Genomic DNA, 23,852 nt, shown 5'->3' with positions numbered 1-23,852 from the left:
CCTCCATTTCTCTGCTCAAATGTCACCTCTTCCGAGAAGCCTTCCTTGATAACTTCACATTGCATAGCAAACCTCATACCTTTCTCAGCCTCTTCCTGCCTCCTTTTTCTGCAGAGCACTTATCACTGATGCATCGCAAATTGCATTTAATTTTTCTTTATTATTATTGCTATTGTTATTTGAGACAGGGTCTTGCTTTGTTATCCAGGCTTAAGTGCAGTGGTGGGATCACAGTTCACTGCAGCCTCCAACTCCTGGGCTCCAGCGATCCTCCTGCCTCAGCCTCTGGAGTAGCTGGGACTACGGGTGTGTGCCACCATGCCCGGTTAAATTTTTTTTAATTTTTTTGTACAGACAGGGTCCTGCTATGTTGCCCAGGATGGTCTCAAACTACTGGCCTCTAGTGATCCTCCTGCCTCTGCCTCCCACTTTTTTTTTTTTGAGATGGAGTCTCGCTCTTGTTTCCCAGGCTGGAGTGCAATGGCGCGATCTCGGCTCACCGCAACCTCTGCCTCCTGGGTTCAAGCAATTCTCTTGCGTTAGTCTCCTGAGTAGCTGGGATTACAGGCATGTGCCACCACACCTGGTTAATTTTTTTTTTTTTTAATTAGAGACTGGGTTTCTCCATGTTGGCCAGGCTGGTCTTGAACTCCTGACCTCAGGTAATTCACTCGCCTCGGCCTCCCAAAGTGCTGGGATTCAGGCATGAGCCACCGTGCCTGGCCTGACTTAATTTTTTTAGTCTCCCCTTACCACAATGTGTGTCCCAGGAAAGCTAGGGCATGACCGGGTTATCAGGGGCTCTAGCCCCAGCCCCTCCATCTAGTGCCTGGCACACAGAGGCCATAAATATTTGGATCGTGACTGCAACATTCACTGAGTGAATGAATGAGTGAGTGAATGAATGAATGAGTCAATGAATGAGTGAATGAATGAATGAATGAGTGAATGAACGCGGGCATGGGAGTGTGCATGCAAGCGTTAGATGCTCATCCTTGGGTGTGTGTGGATGAGGGCCAGTGACAGCTGGGACGAAAATGGCACAGACTTTGAGTGAGACTTGAGTTCCAATCCTCAAGTAAGCAAATGGTTCATTGAATTGTTCCTTAGGGCTGACTCAGTTTTCTCCAGAGTGATATTAAGACTGTCAGCTTTGCCAGGAAGGGGATTTGGGACAAAGAGGTGAGGAGGGGGCAGCATGCCCAGGGACAGGCTGAGGCCTCTCTCTCCCACTCCCCCTAGAGCCTGGGAGGCCCAGAGCTTTTGGAGCTCATTCAAGGTCATGAGTTCATGAGTGGCGGGCCTCAGCCCCAGGCAGCCTGCTGCAGCCTGTGCCTCCCAGCAGGCCAGGGCTGCACCAACTCACCCTTGCCTGAGTCCAGGGTCAGCTCATGGTCCGGACCTGATCTCCTGGGGGTGAGGGTTGAGGTCTGGCAGATGAAAGCCAAGACATGCTGGGCGTTAATTTATTTGTTTGAAGCGAAGTTTCGCTCTTGTTGCCCAAGCTGGAGTGCAGTGGCACAATCTCGGCTCACTGCAACCTCTGCCTTCCAGGTTCAAGCGATTCTCCTGCCTCAGCTTCCCAAGTAGCTGGGATTACAGGTGTGCGCCACCACGCCTGGCTAATTTTGTATTTTTAGTAGAGAAGGGGTATCACCCTGTTGGCCAGGCTGGTCTTGAACTCCTGAGCTCAGGAGATCCACCCACCTCAGCCTCCCAAAGTGTTGGGATTACAGGCATGAGCCACTGTGCTTGGCCCTTTTTTTTTTTTTTTTTTTTTTAAAGACAGGGTCTCTATCTGTCACCCAGGCTGGAGTGCAGTTGCCTGGTCATAACTCACTGCAGCCTCCAACTCCTGGGCTCAAGCAGTCCTCCTGCCTTGGCCTCCCCAGTAGGTTGGGACTACAGGCACATGCCACCGCACCTGGCCTGTTCCTGCTTTTATTATCCAGTGCATTTATTATCCAAGAGGTGTAGGGTCCACTCCACCTGCTCTGAAAGATTTGCTTGGCAAGTGCTTCACTTCTTTTTTTCTTTTTTTTTTTTTTGAGACAGAGTCTCTTTCTGTCCCCCAGGCTGGTATGCAGTGGCATGATCTCGGCTCACTGCAACCTTCACCTTCCGGGTACAAGCAATTCTCCTGCCTCAGCCTCCCAAATAGCTGGGATTACAGGCGTGCACCACCATGTCCGGCTAATTTTTTGTATTTTTATAGTGATGGGGTTTCACCAAATTGCCCAGGCTGGTCTCGAACTCCTGACCTCAAGTGATCTGCCCGCCTCGACCTCCCAAAGCGCTGGGATTACAGGAGTGAGCCACTGCACCCGGCCTTCACTTCTCTATAGAGAAGAAAGCTCACATCACCCGCCGGCACCTGCTCCTTCTGGTCCTTACTGTCCCCCACCTCCACCCTGAGGTCCCCAGCCCTGGGTGTGAACGGCCTTGCCAGCCCTTCCTATGATGATTTCCATCTGTGTATCTTGGATCTTTCCATGAAGAGAGATAGGCATTTGCAACAGGATCTACTCAGCAATGACAAGGACCTGTCCCACAGGGCGACACAGTGGAATCTTCCAGATACATCACTGACGGAAGGAAGGCAGGCACAGAGCACATGTTCTGGAGGATGTCATTTATACGAGGCTTGAAAACTGCCCAAGCCAGGCTGTGGTGTTGGAAGCCAGGGTGACCTCTGGAATGATGGTGGGGACAGTGGTGACAGGAGAGAGCGGGAGGTGGTGGGCGATGTTTGCCTCCTCTCCAGATAGATGCTAGTTCCACAAGTGGGGCCAGGTGCGGTGGCTCATGCCTGTAATCTCAGTACTTTGGGAGGCCGAGGCAGGTGGATCACCTGAGGTCAGGGGTTCGAGACCAGCGTGGCCAACATGGTGAAACCCCGTCTCTACTAAAAATACAAAATTAGCCAGGCGTGGTGGCACATGCCTGTAATCCCAGCTACTCAGGAGGCTGAGGCAGGAGAATTCGCTTGCACCTGGGAGGCAGAAGTTGCGGCGAGCTGAGATTGCACCATTGCACTCCAGCCTGGGCAACAAGGACAAAACTCCATCTCAAAATAAAATAAAATAAAATAAAATAAAATAAAATAAATAAAATAATTAGCTGGGCATGGTGGCATGTGCCAGTAGTCCCAGCTACTTGGGAGGAGGCTGAGGCAGAAGGACTCCTTGAGCTCAGGAGTTCAAGGCTGCAGTCAGATAAGTTCAAGGTCATTGGTAGGGTGGTCCCGCAGCTCAGGCACTGGGCTCACCCGCTGAAAGTTGTGTGCTCTCCTGTAATTTTTCTATCAACACCCCTTCCCTGACACTCAATTTGTCTCTCATCTTCCCTGTCAAATGCCTCCTCGAAAGGCCCAGCACGGTAGCCAGGCATGGTGGCTCATAGCTCTAATCCCAGAACTTTGGGAGGCTACGGTGGGCGGATCACCTGAGGTCAGGAGTTCAAGACCAGCTGGCCCAACATGGTGAAACCCAGTCTCCACTAAAAATACAAAAATTAGCTGGGCATGGTGGCACACACCTGTAATCCCAGCTACTCCGGAGGGTAAGACAGGAGAATCACTTGAACCAGGGAGGTGGAGGTTGCAGTGAGCCGAGATCCTGCCACTGCACTCCAGCCTGGGAAGCAGAGTGAGATTCTGTCTCAGGAAAAAAAAAAAAAAAAGGCTCAGCACAGAGGCCAGACCTGCAGCGGTGCTCTCCTGGGCATGTCGAGGCAGGGCAGAGGAAGGTTCTAGTGGGGCTGGTTGTAAGCAGAGAATTTTGTGGGCTCTCGGCACTTCCTTCCCTTCCTCTAGCAGTCTTTCCACACTTGCGTAACTGCCTGGCCAAGGGTACTTGTCCTGTGGACACCCTGAGCCCCTGGCTGTGATCTTTCAACTCTCCTCCTGTGGCCTCCCAAGACCCTGTTATGTTCCCTCAAAGTGCTCTGCAGACAGGAGGTATCCAGCAAGTTTGTTGGATGAGCAGAGGCAGGAAGCGCTCCGAACTTGAGTTTGACCTTGTAATGACCTCTGTAAGCAGGCTTACAGCCTTTTTTCAGGATGACATAGGATTTTTTCCACTTTTTATTTATTATTATTATTATTATTATTTTTTTTTTGTAGAGACGGGGTCTCGAGATGCTGCTCGGCCTGGTCTCAAGCTCCAGTATCAAGTGGTCCTCCCACCTCAGCCTCCCAAAATGCTGGGATTACAGGCATAAGCCACTGTGTCTGGCCAGGATTTAATTTAATGCATGGATGAAACAAGGTACCAAATAATTTTTTTAATTAAAAAAAAAAAGATAGGTGCAGTGGCTCATGCCTGTAATTCCAGCACTTTGGGAGGCCAAGGTGGGTGGGTCATCTGAGGTCAGGAGTTCGGGACCAGCTTGGCCAACACGGTGAAACCGGGTCTCTACTAAAAATAAAAAAATTAGCCAGGCATGGCATTGCAAGCCTATAATCCCAGCTACTTGGGAGGCTGAGGCAGAAGAATCGCTTGAACCTGGGAGGCAGAGGTTGCAGTGAGCCGAGATCACACCACTGCACTCCAGGCTGGGTAACAGAGTAGACTTGGTTTCAAAAAATAAATAAATAAAATAAAATAAAATAAAGTTAAGGAAGGAAGTAATAAAGAGATAAGAGAGTTTTTTCAGGGGAAGGAAATAGAATTTCTAAAAATGTTTGTATTGTGAAATATGTAGAAAACCACATCTCTTACCTAATTATTATAAAGGAGACAGCTGGTGAACCATCACTGGGTGTTAGAACAATACCAGGGCCCCAAGAATTCCCCCACGTCCCGAGTGCTAATAGGAAGGGCCCCCTGCACCCCGCCGCCCTGCCCTACGTCAGGCACTATTCTAGGTGCTTTCTATTTATGACCGTATCTTCTCCTCACAAGGAGGCTGTCAGGGAGTGGGTACAATTTTCCCCACTTCACAGATGGGAAAACAGAGAGGAAAACAGATTGCCACAGCTGGTATATGCAGAACTGGGATTTGTTTTGTTTTTGTTTTGAGACAGAGTCTTGCTGTGTCACTCAGGCTGGAGTGCAGTGGCGCAATCCTGCCTCACTGTAACCTCCGCCTCCCTGGTTCAAGAAATTCTGTGCCAGCCTCCCGAGTAGCTGGGATTACAGGCTCGTGCCACCACGCCCGGCTAATTTTTGTATTTTTTGTAGAGATGGGGTTTCACCATGTTGCCCAGGCTGGTCTCGAACTCCTGACCTCAAGTGATCTGCCTGCCTCAGCCTCCCAAAGTGCTGGGATTACAGGCATGAGCCATCGCGCCAGGCTAGAACCGCGATTGAACTTGGGCAGTCTGGACCCAGGCCCATGATTTAACTGTTGTACTCTCATGCCTTGCCCTTGAACAATGTGAATGAATGAATGAATGAATGAGTGGGGGTAGGGGGCTCATGAGGAAGGCTCTCACCTCAAGCCAGGCTGGCAGGGAGTGGGGGCTTCCAGGTCTGAGCTGCCAGTCCTGGCCTTTTTCCAAATGTCACCGTCTCCGCCCTCAGGCCACTTGGCTTTCCCCAGATGGGCTGAGCTCGCTATTTCTTTAACCAGGAAATCCCCAAGGCCAGGCCAGTGGGTACCATATCAGGAGAAAGGCGACTTGGCGTCAGGGCATGGGACCCACGCAGTGCCCTCTGGGACATTTTATCAGGAGAGGGAATCTAGCAGTTCCCAGGACTGGAGCAAATCAGCCTTTGGGTGGGACAGTTCTTTCCCAGATCTAACCTAAGCCTCTCCTGCTGCCTCTTCTTGAGCGAGTGACAGCCAGGATCCATCCCCTTGGACAGCCCTGGGTGACCGTCTCCTGGGCCAGCCCACAGGACCAGCTCTCCCTCCTGCCTAGGGCAGCAGGATGGGCCCCAAGGTACCTATGACGCTGGCTCTGTGTGACCGACCCTGTATTGGCAGGCAGGTGTCAATAGGCAGAAACGCTGGCCACTCCAGCCTTGGCCAACATGGTGAACCCCATCTCTACAAAAAATACAAAAATTAGCTGGGCATGGTGGCAGGTGCTTGTAATCCCAGCTACTCAGGAGGCCGAGGCAGGAGACTCTCTTGAACCCGGGAGGCGGAGGTTGCAGTGACCCGAGATCGTGCCACTGCATTCCAGCCTGGGAGACAGAGTGAGTGAGACTCCATCTCAAAAAAAAAAAGCAAAGAAGAAAGTGGGCCACTTGCTGCCTCCCCAGAGACCCATCTTCCTTTATCAGCCAAATCACCTGCGCTGGGCTCTGCTTGGCAGGGGTGGACCCTGAGGCCTCGGCAGAGGGGAATCAGGGACCTGCCCTTGGGAGACTGTCCCAGGACACACCTGAACCACACCCCTGGGAATTCCCTTCTCCCCTAGACCTGATCTCCAGCCCTTGGCCTAGGGACACAAGAGAATGGGCTCCAGGCCCCAGGCATTCGACTTAGGGGAGTCAGACGGAGACCCAGGCCCCGTGGGGAGACGTGCAGGCTGACGGCTGAGCTGTGCACGTGGCTGAAGCTCCCTGAGCCTCTGTCTTTTCATCTGTGAAATGGCACTGACCACTGTACCTACTTCATGGGCTGCCGTGAGGATTAAATAGGGTCAAGTACTAGGGTGGCAAACGTTGGCCATCACCAGATGCAAACTGCGCAGGGGCTGCCTCCAAGGTGCGGGGCAGGGAAATTGCCAGGTAGGAGGCAGGGAGGCTTCTTGCTGTTTAAATTGAGCTTTGAATGAAGAAAATGTCACATGAAGGACAGCAGGCACCCCAAGTTGCTGGGACCACCGGCCCGGGGCTCTGACAGTGGAGCAGTCTCATGATGTCCCTTGGAGAGCTTGTCTGGGTGTGGTGCAGCTGTGTGGGTGGCCTGGAAGCCTTCCCTGACACGGCCAGGCTGACAGTAACCAAGCCCATGGACAGGCTGGGTCTGTCCCCACTGCACTGCACTGTGGCTTCTGGCCCAGCTCCAGGCACGACATGGGCCCTCATCAAATATGCACCACAGGAATGGGGACCTTCCAAGCCAGCCCCACCCCCGCGGGAGCCCCACTTCTGTGCTCAGGGGCCCAGTTGCCCTCTGCCACCCAGGAAGGCTATAAACTCCGCAGTGCACCACCACCCCCAGGGGCTTTGGTGAAATTTTTTTTTTTTTTTTTGAGGCAAAGTCTCACTCCGTTGCCCAGGCTGCAGTGCAATGGCGCAGTCTCGGCTCACTGCAACCTCCAACCTCCTGGGTTCAAGCAATTCTCCTGCCTCAGCCTCCTGAGTAGCTGGGATTACAGGTTTCCGCTACCACACCCGGCTAATTTTTGTATTTTTAGTACAGACAGGATTTCTCCATATTGGCCAGGCTGGTCTCGAACTCCTGACCTCAGGTGATCCGCCCGCCTCGGCCTCCCAAAGTGCTGGGATTATAGGCGTGAGCCACTGCACGTGGCCGATGGTGATTTCTGTACACTTGAAACAAATTTCAGTAATGAGGAAATCACATCCTAAGCACCAGCCAGTCACTGGGTCTGGAGTGGCCGTTTCCACATCTCCCCAGCTCCAAGCAGCACAGTGAAGTCAGTGGTGGTGCGGTCCCTCTGGGACTCACTGAGGGCCAGGCCCCTGCGCCACTTCCCAGGAGAGATCTGGGACAGTCGCTAAGTCACACAGGCCTGGAGTTGGGGGCGGCACACCTGCAGACAGGTGGGACCTGTAGACGTGGCTTTCTCGGTGAGGGGTTACCCAGGCGCAGAGGCACCGCAGAGCCCCATCATGCAGGAGGACAACCTTGTCACCTCCATGGGACTGAAGCTCATCTTCCGCGGGCCAGAAAAAGAAACTTGGGGCTGTGGTGTCAACACTTGCCACAGCTTCCTGAACATGCACCCCAGGTTCCCTGTTCCGGCCTTGTCTTTTTGGAGACCTGCAGTGACTGCTGTTTATCCAGGGGTTTCCCCTGAAGGGTGTGGGCACCATACAGGAGGGGACAGTTTTAGTGTCAATCGGGACAGGAGTTCAACAGGTCCTTTGGATGCAGCTAGAGCTAGACCTTCTCAGCCTGTGGCATTTGGGGCTCTGGGAGGTGTGCCCTCTGCTCTGTCGCTGGCCCTACCTGTGTCCACCAAATCGCCCTCACACCTCTGGAGGGGTCCTCCTGGGTGGGTCCTTACTGCTTTATGTAGCCTGAGGAACGAGCAACCTTGAGCCCCCGCAGGAAGCGGATGCCACAGCAAGCCCTGCTATTGCTTCTGGGGAGGAAGTCAGGCAGGAAACACCTTCCCCAGCTGGGCTTGCCTCACAAGAGATGTCAGAGCCAGCTTTCCCAACACTTCCTCAAAATTAAGGTGCGGTGCCAGGCGCAGTGGCTCACGCACGCCTGTAATCCCAGAACTCTGGGAGGCCAAGGCAGGCGGATCACTTGAGGTCAGGAGTTCGAGACCAACCTGGCCAACATGGGGAAACCCGTCTCTACTAAAAATACAAAAATTAGCTGGGTGTGGTGGTGGACACCTGTAATCCCAGCTACTCGGGAGGCTGAGGCAGGAGAATAGCTTGAACCTGGTAGGCAGAGGTTGCAGGGGACAGAGATTGCACCACTGCACTCCAGCCTGGGCCACAGAGCGAGACTCCATCTTGGAAAAAAAAAAAAAGAGTTAAGATGGGGTAGGGGTGCAGGGGGCAGGTAAGGAGGGACCTCGAGGCGGCTGGGGGGACAAAAGCATGGGCCTCAGTCTGGGCTTGGTTTTTAGCCCAGTTCCCAGGATGAGAAGGCCCCTCTGGTGCAGCCACACCAGGTCCACCTGCCCTTTGTCACCGATGGGCCACTAGGCCCCTAGGGACCTGTGATTTCTTTTTTTTGAGACGGAGTCTCGCTCTGTCACCCAGGCTAGAGTGCAGTGGTGCGATCTCGGCTCACTGCCAGCTTGGCCTCCCAGGTTCACGCCATTCTGCCTCAGCCTCCCGAGTAGCTGGGACTATAGGCGCCCAGCACCATGCCCGGCTAATTTTTTGTATTTTTAGTAGAGACGGGGTTTCACCGTGCTAGCCAGGATGGTCTCGATCTCCTGACCTCATGATCCGCCCGCCTCGGCCTCCCAAAGTGCTGGGATTACAGGCCTGAGTCACTGTTCCCAGCCAGGGACCTGTGATTTCTACAACTGGCTGAAAGCTGCATCCAGTCTGCCCTGTGAGCCAGGTGAGTGGGCAGCCGTGGGTGAAGTACAGAGAGCCAGAGCTCCCTTCCCACCGTGGATCCAGGCAGGATCTGAACTCCAGGCAGGGGAAGTGATGCTTTTGAGAGTAAAGAAAGGCCCCACAGCCCTGTTTGCGGTCATCCCCCTGGACTCGCAGGTCTAAGGACAGGGACAGCGGCCTCCAGGTCACCTCCATTCCTAAAATCCGTCCCCTTCCTCTTTCCCCATCATAGGGAAACTGAGGCACTTTGGGAGAACATCAGATCCTCAAAACACATCCAAGTCCAGAAACTGGGGCTTCCATTTAGGAAGATGAGCAGCGACCTTCCAGAAGATGGAAGTGGTTACTGGGCAGTGACTTTCCAAAAGATGCCCCTTTGGTGTGTAACAATTATCTGCCCCCGAATGGTCAAGCCCACCAGGTGCCTTGAATTTACTAAGACCAGCACTTAGAGTGTAATGTGGAAACTAGAAAGGCCTGGTCCCTCGATCTTCCTCTCTGGTGGAACTTTTGGTCTTTGGAGAAAAAACAAAAACAAAAACAAAAAAACAGAAATGGGAACCAGGAGGAGGCTCAGAAAAACCAAACTACAGCCAGGCACAGGGGCTCATGCCTGTTATCCCAGCACTTTGGGAGGCTGGGGCGGGCGGATTGCTTGAGGTCAGGAGTTCCAGACCAGCCTGACCAACATGGAGAAACCCCATCTCTACTAAAAATACAAAACTAGCCAGGTGTGGTGGCACATGCCTGTAATCCCAGCTACTCGGGAGGCTGAAGCAGGAGAATCGCTTGAACTGGGAGGTGGAGGTTGCGGTGAGCTGAGATCGTGCCATTGCACTCCAGCCTGGGCAACAAGAGCGAAACTCTGTCTCAAAAAATAAAAAGAGAGAGAGAGACCAACCTACTTCAAAATGGAACTGGCAGCTGGCTCTATATGAGTTTCAGGTCCTAGGGGACCACAGACCCAGGTCCAAGTTGCATCCTCAAGCTTCTGAATAAGACTGGGGCAACAACGTCCTCATCTATACAGTTCCAGAACAGTCTCCCAGACCTCACTTTACATGTCAGCTGACTTAAACCAATTAGAAGATTAAGGCATCATGTAATGTGCTAACTCTGATGTGCGCTGATGGCCTGGGAGGGACGGGGGTGGGGACAGGCAAAGGCGAAACCTTCTCACGAGCAGATGACAACTGCCAGCTCTAGCATTTGAGAGCGGATGCGTCCCTGGCCATTCCCGCAGGACCTCCCTCCAGGGACAAAGCTTTGGTTTCCTCCCCACTGAGGACCAGGGGCTTGGAATGGGAGTTGTCACTTGGCAATCAGCAGGCAGGGTTTAATTCATACAGTCCTGGGAGGGAGACATTTCCTTGCTTTTACTGTTTTTCTGATAAAAATGTCCCCTATATAATGGCTGTCCAGAAGTGGATTTGTTCTTAGTCACTCTACTGCCTTACCTGGGAAGTAATTATGTTTGTCCCTTGAATTATTATGAAATCAGGAGGCGGCCGGGTGTGGCGGCTCATGCCTGTAATCCCAACACTTTCGGAGGCCGAGGTGGGCAAATCACGAGGTCAGGAGATCGAGACCATCCAGGCTAACATGGTGAAACCCCATCTCTACTAAAAATACAAAAAATTAGCTGGGCGTGGTGGCAGGCGCCTGTAGTTCCAGATACTCTGGAGGCTGAGGCAGGAGAATCGTTTGAATCCAGAAGGCAGAGGTTGCAGTGAGCCGAGATCGCACCATTGCGCTCCAGCCTGGGCGACAGAGCCAGACTCCATCTCAAAAAAAAAAAAAAAAAAAAAAAAAATCAGGAGGTTTTTGTTTTTTTGAGACAGAGTTTCACTCTGTCACGCAGGCTGTAGTGCAGTGGTGTGATCTTGGCTCACTGCAGCCTCCGCCTCCCAGGTTCAAGCAATTCTCTCCTACCTCAGCCTCCCGAGTAGCTGGGATTACAGGTGTGCACTACCACAGTCGGCTAATTTTTGTATTTTCACTAGAGACGAGGTTTCACCATGTTGACCAGGCTGGTCTTGAGCTCCCGACCTCAAGTGATCTGCCCTCCTTGGCCTCCCAAAGTGCTGGAATTACAGGCGTGAGCCACCACGCCCGGCCAAGGAATCAGTTGTTTCAGAAACAAGAGCTTATTAGATACACTGAAGAGACCTACTTGAACTATATTTTGCTTTTTCAATCCAGAATACCGGGCTAACGAAGATTTTACTGGACAAGTTTAACTTCCCCTTCACCCTCTGAACAATCACACTATCTGCCTTTTAGAAATGCACTGCCTGAGGCTGGGTTTGGTGGCTCACACCTGTCATCCCAGCACTTTGGGAGGCCGAGGCAGGTGGATCACTTGAGGTTGGGAGTTCGAGACCAGCTTGGCCGACATGGGGAAACCCCGTCTCTACTAAAAATACAAAAATTAGCCGGGCGTGGTGGCAGGTGGCCATAATCACAGTTACTGGGGTGGCTGAGACAGGAGAATCTCGAACTCAGGAGGCGGAGGTTACAGTGAGCCAAGATTGCGCCACTGCACTCCAGCCTGGGCAACAGAGTGAGACTCCGTCTTCAAAAAAAAAAGAACAGAAATACACTGCCTGTTCATTAATTAATGCAGGCAGCTAAGGCCTCTTCTTTTTTCTTTTAAGAGACAGGGTCTCACTGTCACCCAGTCTGGAGTGCAGTGGTGTAATCACTGCAGTGGCTCAAGTGATCCTCCCACCTCAGCCTCCCTAGTAGCTGGGACTACAGTTGTACACCACAGCACCTGGCTTAAATCCTTTATGTGTGTGTGTGTGTGTGTGTGTGTGTGTGTGTGTGTGTAAAAATATGTGTATATACCTGAGGCCAGGATTTTGAGACCAGCCTGGCCAACATGCTGAAACCCCGTCTCTACTAAAAATACAAAAATTAGTCAGGTGTGTTGGTGGGTGCCTGCAATCCCAGCTACTCGGGAGGCTGAGGCAGGAGAATTGCCTGAACCTGTGAGGTGGAGGATGCAGTGAGCTGAGACTGCACCACTGTGCTCTAGCCTGGGCAACAGAGCAAGACTGTCTCAGGAAAAAAAAAAAAGAAAGGAAAAAATGTGTTATGTACACACAGAATTGTTGTAATGGATTGAATCATGAATATCCTTGGCAAGTCTGTGACCTCACAAATGAGTGTGAAACCAGTAACTGAACGGAGATTCATGGCAGAGCTGGGCTTTTGCCAACGGCAGCCTTGCCATGGCCCTGATTCTCCAGGATGGGTGCTGGGAGGTGTGGCTGAGGGTGGTGCGGCAGGACACATTTTAAGAACATGTTAAAAGAACTGTGAGATGCTATCAGAGAAGCAGTCTCCTCCCAGGTTAGCAGGCAGGTGAATCATGAGATCAGTTTCCCTTTCTGGCACACGCGGATAGGGCACGGCAGAGGCAGGGACCACGCTGAGAACAGAAGAGCCTCAGAGTCAGTGTGTGGGCTCAGGCAGGAGGGACTGCTGCATGAGCTCTCGATGGCAGGGGCTTTTGGCACCCAATGTCGTATGTGAGCGGCTCTCCATACACAGCTGGCATGGCCCAGATGGAAGGGTGGGGGCCCTGGCCCGCTCAGAGGAGATGGGCAGCAGCGGTCTGAGAAACACCGCAAGTGGCGCTGTCCCCGGGAGGCCCGGCGGGCTCTGCCCAGCGCCAGCCTCGGCCTTGGTCTGCGTCCCACCTACGCCGAGCCACCCCCAAGCTTCCCCAGACAGGACCATGAAAACAGCCGAGAGAGCAATGACTTAGTGTGTGAAAGGCATGGATGGATTTTATTGATTACCCTATATCTACAATTTGAGGTAAAATAGAAGCAACACATAAAAGGGCCTATTTCTGCTACCATGTCATATAATTCTCCATTGTGAATATTGTGATAAAGCTACTGAAAACTATGCCGTCACAGAGCCTAGCTTCTTGTAGAGCTGGTATTTTACAACTCGCATTGCTTGTGAAATCTCAACACATGTAAGACTCTCCTAGGAAGGCGCAGAACGTCAGAGGTTGCATCCTTAGCCCCCTGACCCCTCCTCACTCCCCGCGCTGGCACCTCAGGGTTACAAGAAGAACTAGGAAATAATGCCGGCCACGGCGACCCCTGGAGAGGGGGCCGGCTAGAACAGCGTTCCTAAGAATCCGCGCCACAGCAGGTCCCGCGATGTTGGGGCCTTAGTGTCATCGAGCTAGCCCCAATCCTCAACCCGATCTTCAACTTCTGGTACACCATGCATTTTATTTGGACGAAAAGTAAAAGTGGAAGAGGTTCTCTCTGTATTTCCTCTATAATTCACACGCTGAGATACTGACCTCTGACTGTTAGGTGATCCAGATGGTTTTGCTTTTAATTATGATAAAAAAACATAGGAACCATGAGAGATAGCTTAGGAAAAGGTTTAGTCAAATATACAGATAGGAACTGTTCACTCAGTCATTAAGGAGAGCCGTGAACAAAGGATCATTTAAATGATTTTTTTTTTTCAAATAGAAAAACTAAAGAACTGAACTATCACAGGAATTTTTCTTCACTGCAGAAGCTGAGATGTTCCAGTAGGAGAAGTAGGAGATATCTTCACTTGATTGGAAAATAAACACCGTAACTCAAGGCTCTGCTGAGTACATAAAAAATCTGGTGAGATTCATTCCTGTCATTTTCCCTGTCATTTCCCAGCATTGCTGTAAAATCCTGATAGTACATTCCCAAGTACACCAGCCATTCCAGACCCACAGTCACTCTGCTCTTTAATTCACAGAACTGCTGAAAAAGTAGACATTTCTATCTAAAAGTAGAAAAAAAGGTTTGTATAGAAGGTATTTCTGTTATACAAGTATATTACACAGCTTGGGGTAGTAACAGGTCCGAAAAGCTCTTCTCAACCACTGATACTTTAAGCTAAAATAGGAGAGAAAACAAACAAGCAAGCAAAGAGGTTAATCTAATTACAGGAATTTAACAGTCACGAATATCACAACTTAATTTGCAAATTCAGGTAACAATGACTTGGATTCAGAAGCACTCATAAAGCGGGATGAAACCTTAAGTCCATGAGCTGACAGGGTAAGGCAAATTCCAGTACAAGTCTCTGGATTAAAAAAAAAAATCCATTGTCAAAGTTTCCTGACTTCGGGTCTCAAGCTACTGCTCCTATTATAACTTGGCCAAATTTAAGAAATCTGGACTAACAGGATCAGACTTGTTAACTCTGCAAGATGAACAAAAGATCTGCAGCTCTGTGAGACTCTGCAAAATACTATTACTATGGAAAAAAAAAAGTCAGTCTAATGATTCTGACTCATAGTGAATTCCAATGAGGAGGACAACGTTGACTCTATTTAGAAACAGAACATTCTTTTTAAGGCAAAAGTGCTTTTACATCTTTGACTGAGAGACATATATTGATCCAAGGAGAATCTCCCTGTAGAATCTTCTAGCTTAAATATCCGGGAAGGCTCCCACCTGGCTCCCACATTCCCTGAAGGCAGGGCCACCATCTTATGTGAAAGTGGGGAGATCACATTAGCTACGCGTATGCAGGGGGTTCAGATGGACACCACACAGCATCCCTGACACAGAAGCTGATTTACCCTAGGAGGGAAGAGGTCTACCACGTGGGGTCTGGTTCTTGCTTGATCTGAGAGCTTCCATCAGTCTCTTTTATTTCTATCAACAGAAACAAAACGGTACCGATTAATTATTTTGCAGACCTGCTCAGTGATAAATCCATTCGTACCAAACTATTTACTAAGATATGGTTTAATAAGAAGGACAAGACACCAAACATCAAAAGAGCTTCAGAGAGACATCTCTTTAGCAATACATTCAAAATTTTGTTACTTATGTTTTCAAAGTAACATACATCTTCTGGCTTACATGCATTTAAAGGACACACGTTAGGTTATCTAGGTTATGTAGCAGAGTCATTCACGGAGAATTTACCAAGTCATCTGGGGGAAATGGAGCAAAAGCAGCTATGCGTCATCACTCAACAGCATAACCTGCAAATCCAATTCACCCAGAAGAAAGAGAGCAAAACCACCACCCAGTTCTAGTGAAATAGTTTAAATGCACAATCCTTTGTCCTGATAAAAAAGTCTTGGCTGGGCAAGGTGGCTCGCGCCTGTAATCCGAGCACTTTGGAGGCCAAGGCTGGCGGATCACTTGAGGTCAGAAGTCTGAGACTAGCCTGGCCAACATGGTGAAACCCCGTTTCTACTAAAAATACAAAAATTAGCCAAGCATGGTGGTGCAGGCCTGTAATCCCAGCTACTCGGGAGGCTGAGGCAGGAGAACTGCTTGAGCCCGGGAGGCGGAGGTTGCAGAGATCGCGCAACCTCACTCCACCCTGGGTGACAGAGCAAGTCTCTGTCTTTAAAAAAAAAAAAAAGAAGAAGAAGAAAGAAGAAGTCTTAAGGACTTGCAGGACCACCCCACCCTTTTACCTTCTGTGGCTGGAACTTCCAACTGGCTTGGTTCAGCTGATTCTAAAGAGAAACACAGAGACTGATTTCCACATTGTTCAACAGCTGCTTTATACTATGTAAAGAACCCAGGAGGAGGAAGAGGAGAAAAGCCCTCTAGACTCTGTACAAACACAGGTGCATGATGAAACAATGCTCACGGTCTTGAGATGGAGCACACGATTATCCAAGTGTACTTTCAAATTTCTGTTTTTCAAATGTGGTCCTAAGTTCACATATGCAACTGAAGTTTGAAAGAGCAGAGTCTTAACATAGCTCTACCATGAAAACAAGCTCCTTAGTTATGCTTTCTCCCTTATCCTTCTGTTTACTCCCTTTAATAAAAGCTTTTCATTACTTTTTTTGTTTTTCTTCGTATGTTTGTTTTTTTGAGACAGAATCTCCTTTCTGTTGCCCAGGCTGGAGTGCAGTGGCACGATCTTGGCTCACTGCGACCTCCGCCTCCCAGGCTCAAGCGGTTCTCCTGCCTCAGCCTCCTGAGTAGCCGGCACACGCCACCACGTCTGGCTAGTTTTTGTATTCTTAGTAGAGACGGGGTTGCACCATGTTGGCCAGGCTGGTCTCGAACTCCTGATCTCAAGTGATCTACCCTTCTCAGCCTTCCAAAGTGCTGGGATAACAGGCGTGAGCCACCGCGCCCAGTCTCATTACTTTCAATGACTCACACAGCACCAGGCCATTCCACTTGTTTTTTAAGGAATTTTTTAAGAGCACAATGTGTACATTTCTACTGAAGAACATTTTGCTCACTGACTTATGGCAGACATTAGAAATGGATGGCAGAGTCAGGTTAAAGTGACGGCCCTCTTGCTCTGCCATTTCATCCTACCCATTAATCCTGGGGTTCCTGATGTTAGGCCTGAGCTGGGATAGGGGGTGCAAATGGTCTGCAGCCCCCAGTTCTCAATCAGGACCCACAGCTTGAATTTATGTTTTGATCAGCTGTCAAACCCAGGAGTGAAAACCACAGAGAAGCATGTGTGTGCTGTGTAACTGAGTCCCCTCAGGGCAGGTGACTGAGAGCCAAAGCCACACGCAGGCACGCCATTGTGCCACTGTGCAGGCAGGAGTAGCTCCGGGCCCTCCCCTGCCTCGCTCACCTTGTATCACGGGGCCTTCTGACTCACTCTGATCAACCAGCTCTGAAAATGAAGCAGATTGGTTTAAATAATGTAAGGATGTGTTGTTCCCTTGGAAAAGCATTTTAACATACATTTGCTGTTTCCCTCAAGATGAGAAGGAAACAAACCTCAGAGTTCTGATATGTCCCTCAGAATCACTAATTCACAGTAATTACCATAAAACTCTATACCACACTACCGCACAAGAACAGGAACAAAAGAGAACATTTTATTTATTTATTTATTGGGACAGAGTTTTGCTCTTGTTGCCCAGGCTGGAGTGCAATGGCACGATCTCAGCTCACTGCAACCTCCACCTCTAGGATTCAAGCAACTCTCCTGCCTCAGCCTCCTGAGTAGCTGGGATTACAGGCACGTGCCACCACACCCAGCTGATTTTTGTATTTTTAGTAGAGACAGGCTTTCACCATGTTGGACGGGCTGGTCTCCAACTCCCAACCTCAACTGATCCGCCTGCCTCAGCCTCCCAAACTGCTGGGATTACAGGCGTGAGCCACCACGCCTGGCCTCACTTTTATACATTTTTAATAATAAAGTTAAGAAAACAAAACACACTCGCAAAATTAAGTTTGGCTCAAAATACTATTGAAAATGACATCAACGTTAAGGAATTGAAAGGACATTTGTTCACTCGCTCAGCAATATTTGAGAGCCCCATGTGTGCCAGGCACTGTGCTGAAATACTAACAGAAGCAGGCACATTGTGACTTACTTTGTAACGAAATCCAAGCACAGTAATTATAACAGTCATAAAAGCAGTAATAAATATAGATTGTATTCGCTGAGCACATACTGTAGGCTAAACACATACTAGAGGCTAGACACTGTTCTAGGTTAGGGGGATGCAAACTCTTTTCTTGCAGAGCCAATTAGTAAATATTTTAGGTTTTGCAGGCACACACTTGCTGCTGCCATCTCTCAGTTCTGCCATAAACAAATGGACACGATGGTGGTTTCAATAAAACTTTATGCATACACGTCGGCAGGAGCTTGCTGACACCTGTTCCAGATGCTTTCCATCTACTGGAACGACTCCCCCAAAATCGGTGCTATTATTACCATTTTATGATTAAGTGCATCGAGGATAGGAAGTTAAGAAGCTTGAATAATTTTACAACTAGGAAGTGCCTGGTGTTTTTACTGAGGGCTAAAACAAGTATTTGGCCTGGTTACTGACATAGGTGAAGTAACGTGATATACGTTAAGCATGTATACACACTCACACGCACACACGTCAGACCCCAGGAAAAAACAAAAACAAAACACTTCACAAAATACTCACGGTTATTAATCACAAGTCCTGGAAATGGTCTAAAGAGAGAAACAAATTGTAAAGTATAACAATTTATTTTCACTCTGTAAGAATTTACAGGTATAACTGTTTATTCAACTCATATCTAGCCCACGTCATTTACGTACTACAATGAGAAGTATTATCCGTGACCTTATAAGCTTATGGAAGAGATAGATACGTATCAATAATAAGAACACTGTTAGAAAGTGTTAAGCTACTAGTAAATGGAGGAAAAACAAAAAATAGAAACGCAGAGCAGGGAACAGAGTGATTCTAAGTTTAACATACGGAAGAACGGAAGGGGCTTTTTGCCTAACTCCTGGGAGTGATATGGAGAATGACGGTGGGTGAAGTGGAACCAAAATATGAGATTTTGAGGGAAAGAAGATTGGAAGAAGACGAGTGTATGAGAAGCCTCAAGAGGATTTATTATGAGATTTCTGAGTGCCAGTTCCAAGAGACCTGAACTAGAGACAGTGGCAATCTGATGATGAAATGATTGGGTAGGTTGAGTCGTAGCTGTTTCTGGGGGGCTGGAAGACAAAGGGGAAGATAACCTGGGGTTGGTGCTCAGGTGGGCATCTCTTACAGTGACAAGGACGTGGGAAGGAATGTGGCACTCACAATGGTGTCAGAGGTGAGTACAATCATCATGCCTGCTCTACGGGAAGGAGCTGACACTCTCAGTGGGAACAACGATCAATCTCATTTACAGACAAAGAACAGAGTGACCTGGCTAACAAATGGCTGATGCAAGGTTGAATCCGTCTGACCCGAAGCCTGTGACAAGGCGCCCTAAGACAGAGGTTGACAAAGTTCTTTTTTTCTTGTGATGGAGTCTCACTCTGTCGTCCAGGCTGGAGTGCAGTGGCATGATCTTGGCTCATTGCAACCTCCACCTCCTGGGTTCAAGCGACTATCCTGCCTCAGCCTCCCGAGTAGCTGGGATTACAGGCACCCGCCATCATGCCCAGCTAACTGTTTTATTTTTGTAGAGATGGGATTTCACCATGTTGGCCAGGCTGGTCTGGAACTCCTGACCTCAGGTGATCTGCCTGCCTTGGCCTCCCAAAATGCTGGGATTACAGGCGTTAGCCACTGTGCCTAGCTAAGGTTTTTCTACAAAGTGCTAGAGAGTAAATATTTTAGACTTTGGAGGCCATGCCTTCTCAGTCCCAGCTACTTACTCACTGTGACAGGAAAGCAGCCATGGATAATACGGGTGTAGCTGTGTTTCAGGAAGACTCTAAAAATAGGAGGCAGCCTGAATTTGGCAAACAGTCCTAGTTTGCCAACCCTTTGCCAAAGAATTAAAAGAGTCAGCTTAGTTCGTAGAAGCACATCTGACATTCTAATGATGACACAAGTTATTTTGATTTGTTGATTGCACAGCATAGGAAGCCGGATTCGATGACTACCTGTGGCTGCATTTTAGAAGAGTCAGCCTCATGAGCTCCAGATTCGCTCCTGTGACTAAGCAGGAAACTCTCACTTACCTAATGACCGTGAATTTGATAAACTCGGCAGAGTCTAAGATCCTTCTCATGGAGCTGATTTCCAGGTAGCTGGGGGCTTTGAAGGACACCCCCGGGGGCATGCCATCAACTACCACACAGCCAGGGTTAATTGTGATTTTCCTGTAGGGAACTTTCACAGGAAAACCCATACCAATAGCTTCACCTACAGGGACAGTGAGACAAACAGCACAACAGCACAGATTAACCCACCGCCTTAAACAGCCTGTCAAAAGCACAAGATCAACATTTATTTTAAAGACTGTCTCTGCTGTTAACTAAGGTCTTTGTACACTTCAAACAAATTTAAATATGAACCTTAAATTTTTTTTTTTTTTGAGACAGAGTCTTGCTCTGTCACCCAGGTTGGAGTGTGGTGGCTTGATCTCAGCTCACTGCAATCTCTGCCTCCCAGGTTCAAGCAATTCTCGTGCCACAGCCTCCTGAGTAGCTGGGATTACAGGTGTGCACCACCATACCCGGCTAATTTTTTGAATTTTTTAGTAGAGACAGGGTTTCACTATGTTGGCCAGGCTGGTCTCGAACTCCTGGCCTCAACTGATCCACCTGCCTCGGGCTCCCAAAGTGCTGGGATTACAAGTGTGAGCCACACTGCCAGATGGTGAACCTTAAATTCATTAACTTTCATACTGACAATCAATAGTGTAACACTAATGGTATCTTATTAAATAAATTTAGCACAAACAACTCACTTTTAAATTTTAACTCCTTTTATATAGGATTACAACCATCCAACCATCATCTGCTGAAAAGATCTTATTAAAACAAATCTCTTTGCTTATAGCAACTGTACTTTGCAAATGCAAAACTTACCAAATTTCCGACTAAAGAGGTCATTCACTTGTTCTCTTAGCTGTCTAGCTTTTTCAACTTTCGAGAGTCTTTCATTATCATCATCTGAAACAGTTCAGAGAAAACCCAAAACTTAAATACTGCTTTTTTTTTTTTTTATGGTAAAGAGATGGTATCTCACGATGTTGCCCAGACTGGCCTTGAACTCTTGGGCTCAAGCGATCCTCCTGCCTAAGCCTCCCAAGTAGCCGAGACTACAGGTACAAGCCGCTGCTCAATGATGCACTTTTAATCCCAATTTTTAGGAGCTCTGTGTAATGTTTTCAAGCATTTTCCATTTTTTAATGATTTAAGTATTTGAGCACTTTGAGCTAATTAAATTTGAAATTGTTTAAAATAATGCCTAACTAAAAATGCTACAAATTTATTCTTGTTATAAAGACCTTTACCTGCTGTTTTATATAGATTTTTTTTTTTTCCCAGATGGAGTATGGCTCTGTCACCAAGGCTGGAGTGCACTGGCCCCATCTCGGCTCACTGCGACCTCCACCTCCCGGGTTCAAGCACTTCTCCTGCCTCAGCCTCCCAAGTAGCTGGGATTACAGCCACACACAACCAGGCCTGGCTAATTTTTCTTGTATGTTTAGTAGAGTCAGGGTTTCACCACGTTGGCTAGGCTGGTTTTGAATTCCTGACCTCAAGCGATCCTCCTGCCTCAGCCTCCCAAAGTGCTGGGATTACAGGCGTGAGCCACCGTGCCCGGTCTCATATAGACTTTTTTTAAGGAACAGACTAGCCATTTGGGTGGTTAACAGGATTTAGCTCATGCCAAGTGCCAAAACTTGCCGTTGCTGTTTGGAGAGCAACTGTATTTGGAAGGCAACTGCTGTAGGAGTCTGGGAGGAGCACCAGGCAACGTGTAATGTATCCGAGTCCCCGGATGAGCTGAGCAAACCTCTCTAGTTGGGAAAGTCCAAGAGGCCCTGAAGAGACCCCCAAAAACTCTGATGGAAGCAGAGAACTCATACCTGGAATTGTCACCTGAATGATGTTAAGGTCTTCAACACCTGATGCAGTAGTATTAACATTGGGTGATGAATTTATTTTTCCTGAAAATATACATTTAAAATCAGAATTTGTAGAAAACACGGTCAACATCTCTAATAATCATGCTGTCTGAGACTGTTTTATCTCAGTCCTGTTCAAGGTTCTTTCTTTCCATGGTAGATCATTTCAAGAAGACATGATGCCCCCTGAAGGGCTGCCTTTCACTGTTTTTCTCTTCCTGGGGGTACTTAGGAGATCATCACACACTCACAGAGCCACCCAATTATTAAATAACTAAAAATTGTGAAATAGCCTGAACTACAACTTTGAATGGGTTTTCTTTTTTCTTTTTGAGATGAGTCTTGCTCTGTTGTCCAGGCTGGAGTGCAGTGGTGCGATCTCGGCTCACTGCAACTTCCGCCTCCCGGGTTCAAGTGATTCTGCTGTCTCAGCCTCCTGAGTAGCTGGGATTATAGGCGCCTGCCACCACGCCTGGCTAATTTTTTATATTTTTAGTAGAGACAGGGTTTTGCCGTGTTGGCCAGGCTGGTCTCAAACTCCTGACCTCAGGTGATCCACCCACCTCAGCCTCCCAAAGTGCTGGGATTACAGGCGTGAACCACCATGCCTGGCCTCAATGGCTATTCTTTAAACAATGTTTGTAAACCACAGCTGCACAATGCATGCCTAAGAGCGTGTGTTCTATAGCAATGAAAATACAGAAAATACACTCACTGGGAGGGCTCTTAGAGGAGGTGCTCTCCTTAATCGCCGTCTCAAACATTTCGGGCCTATAGACAAAAGAGAAAAAAAATGTGCTGATCAAACAGTAAAACTCTAACATTAAAATTTAAACAACTCAAAGATTTACAAACCAGTAACTCTGTAAAGTCTAAATTCAATTCTTAGTCATGAAGAACAGAAATCACATGCTTATCTAAAGAACCACAGCCAAAAAGACAAACCACAATTGTAAATTTAACATCCATTGCTGCCTCTCATTGGCTGCCCTTCCCCTACACTGGTTTTATTGGCATCTTCTTTCCAAGGTTAGAATGTATCCTGAAAAGAATCAGCGCCAGAATTGAGGATGCAAAGAGAAAACGCCCCACAAACGCAGCATGGAAACACAAGATGGGCTGTGAAAACAGGAGCACTTGAGGCTCTCACTCCGGAAGCAGAAGCAGAGGGCTTAGAGGCTGCCAAACCTCTGCAGACCTGGCCAAAAGCATAAAAGGTGGCCATTGGCCGGGCGCGGTGGCTCACGCCTGTAATCCCAGCACTTTGGGAGGCCGAGGCAGGCGGATCATGAGGTCAGGGGTTTGAGACTAGCCTGACCAACATGGTGAAACCCCTTCTCTACTAAAAATACAAAAATTAGCTGGGCATGGTGGCACATGCCTGTAATCCCAGCTACTTTGGAGGCTGAGGCAGGAGAATCGCTTGAACCCAGGAGGCGGAATTTGCAGTAAGCCGATATCACACACCACTGCACTCCAGTCTTGGGTACAGAGCGAGATTCTGTCTCACAAAAAAAAAAAAAAAAAAAAAAAAAAAAGTGGCCAGCTTTGCTTGAGAGCATCCCTGGGTGACTCAAAATTAAGCCTGACACCAAGCAAATGAAACCTAAAATTCATTTCAATTGATTTCAAATAATTCATGTGCATTAGCATGTACTATAAAATTCCAATTATTCTTATTTCTTTTTTTAATTTTTTTTGAGACAGAGTCTTACTCTGTCATCCAGGCTGGAGTGCAATGGCACGATCTCCTCCGCCTCCTGGGTTCAAGTGATTCTCCTGTCTCAGCCTCCCTGAGTAGCTGAGATTATAGGTGCCAGCTACCACCCCTGGCTATTTTTTTTTTTTTTTTTTGTATTTTAAGTAGAGATGGGGCTTCACCATGTTGGCCAGGCTGGTCTCGAACTCCTGACCTCAAGTGATCTGCCTGCCTTAGCCTCCCACAGTGCTGGGATTTATGGCCGCACCCGGCCCATTCCTATCTATTTCAATTATGTTAGCCTAATCCACAGATGTTCAAGCAAACAGGAGAAATTGAAAATATTCTATTAAGTTGGAGAAATAAAAGGACTTGAAAAACTAAACAGCTGCTCAGATTCCAGCAGCATCAAATAGTAACAACATAGCTGTGTAGATTTAGCAACCAAAAGTCGTTATCTCTCTAGTATGGTGGAGTCCTCCTTCCCTTCTACCAGCAGCATAAGGAAAATTTCTTCTTCTTTTTTTTTTTTTTTTTTGTTTTTGAGATGGAGTTTTGCTCTTGCTGCCCAGGCTGGAGTGCAGTGGCACGATCTTGGCTCATTGCAACCTCTGCCTGCTGGGTTCAAGTGATTCTCCTGCCTCA

The 23,852-nt window shown here is 48.4% G+C and overlaps 1 protein-coding gene across 5 annotated transcripts in view, besides 5 other annotated features; it reads right to left on the bottom strand.

Annotated features, from left to right (window-relative positions):
• Nucleotides 1-23,852: part of a biological region, named in NCBI's record as "Williams-Beuren syndrome medial block B recombination region", that runs on past both edges of the window. NCBI's record gives its function as "recombination_partner: LOC106029311 | LOC106029313".
• Nucleotides 1-23,852: part of a non allelic homologous recombination region, noted in NCBI's record as "sub-region SSN3'-SSN6', recombines with sub-region SSN3-SSN6 within the WBS centromeric block B recombination region", that runs on past both edges of the window. NCBI's record gives the evidence for it as "EXISTENCE:restriction fragment detection evidence [ECO:0001124][PMID:12796854]".
• Nucleotides 803-1,348: an enhancer, noted in NCBI's record as "H3K27ac-H3K4me1 hESC enhancer chr7:74186639-74187184 (GRCh37/hg19 assembly coordinates)". NCBI's record gives its function as "activates a minimal SCP1, AML or CMV promoter by ChIP-STARR-seq in naive H9 embryonic stem cells {active_cell/tissue: H9 hESC(naive)}" and the evidence as "EXISTENCE:reporter gene assay evidence [ECO:0000049][PMID:30033119]".
• Nucleotides 5,699-6,200: an enhancer, noted in NCBI's record as "H3K4me1 hESC enhancer chr7:74181785-74182286 (GRCh37/hg19 assembly coordinates)". NCBI's record gives its function as "activates a minimal SCP1, AML or CMV promoter by ChIP-STARR-seq in naive H9 embryonic stem cells {active_cell/tissue: H9 hESC(naive)}" and the evidence as "EXISTENCE:reporter gene assay evidence [ECO:0000049][PMID:30033119]".
• Nucleotides 9,314-10,581: a meiotic recombination region, noted in NCBI's record as "meiotic double-strand break mapped by DNA meiotic recombinase 1 chromatin immunoprecipitation followed by single-stranded DNA enrichment and sequencing in the germ cells of some male individuals with the PRDM9 A/C genotype". NCBI's record gives the evidence for it as "EXISTENCE:chromatin immunoprecipitation-seq evidence [ECO:0000229][PMID:25395542]".
• GTF2I (general transcription factor IIi) overlaps nucleotides 12,948-23,852 on the bottom strand; it is a 102,975-nt gene continuing 92,070 nt past the window's right edge. For all 5 annotated transcript variants that reach the window (NM_032999.4, NM_033001.4, NM_001163636.3 and 2 more), the window contains 9 exons: nucleotides 22,224-22,279; nucleotides 21,470-21,550; nucleotides 20,463-20,546; nucleotides 19,611-19,794; nucleotides 18,103-18,131; nucleotides 16,779-16,820; nucleotides 15,640-15,681; nucleotides 14,785-14,860; nucleotides 12,948-14,092 (listed from right to left, as the gene is read on the bottom strand). In NM_032999.4, the coding sequence (NP_127492.1) occupies nucleotides 14,802-14,860; nucleotides 15,640-15,681; nucleotides 16,779-16,820; nucleotides 18,103-18,131; nucleotides 19,611-19,794; nucleotides 20,463-20,546; nucleotides 21,470-21,550; nucleotides 22,224-22,279 (577 nt within the window). In that variant the 3' untranslated portion in view covers nucleotides 12,948-14,092; nucleotides 14,785-14,801. The remainder of the gene's footprint in view (nucleotides 14,093-14,784; nucleotides 14,861-15,639; nucleotides 15,682-16,778; nucleotides 16,821-18,102; nucleotides 18,132-19,610; nucleotides 19,795-20,462; nucleotides 20,547-21,469; nucleotides 21,551-22,223; nucleotides 22,280-23,852) is intronic.

Source organism: Homo sapiens, chromosome 7 (genome assembly GCF_000001405.40).
Source record: "Homo sapiens chromosome 7, GRCh38.p14 Primary Assembly".
Lineage (NCBI taxonomy): Eukaryota > Metazoa > Chordata > Mammalia > Primates > Hominidae > Homo > Homo sapiens.
The sequence above is the reverse complement of the archived record's forward strand: the minus strand, read 5'-3'. Positions and strand labels throughout refer to the sequence as shown.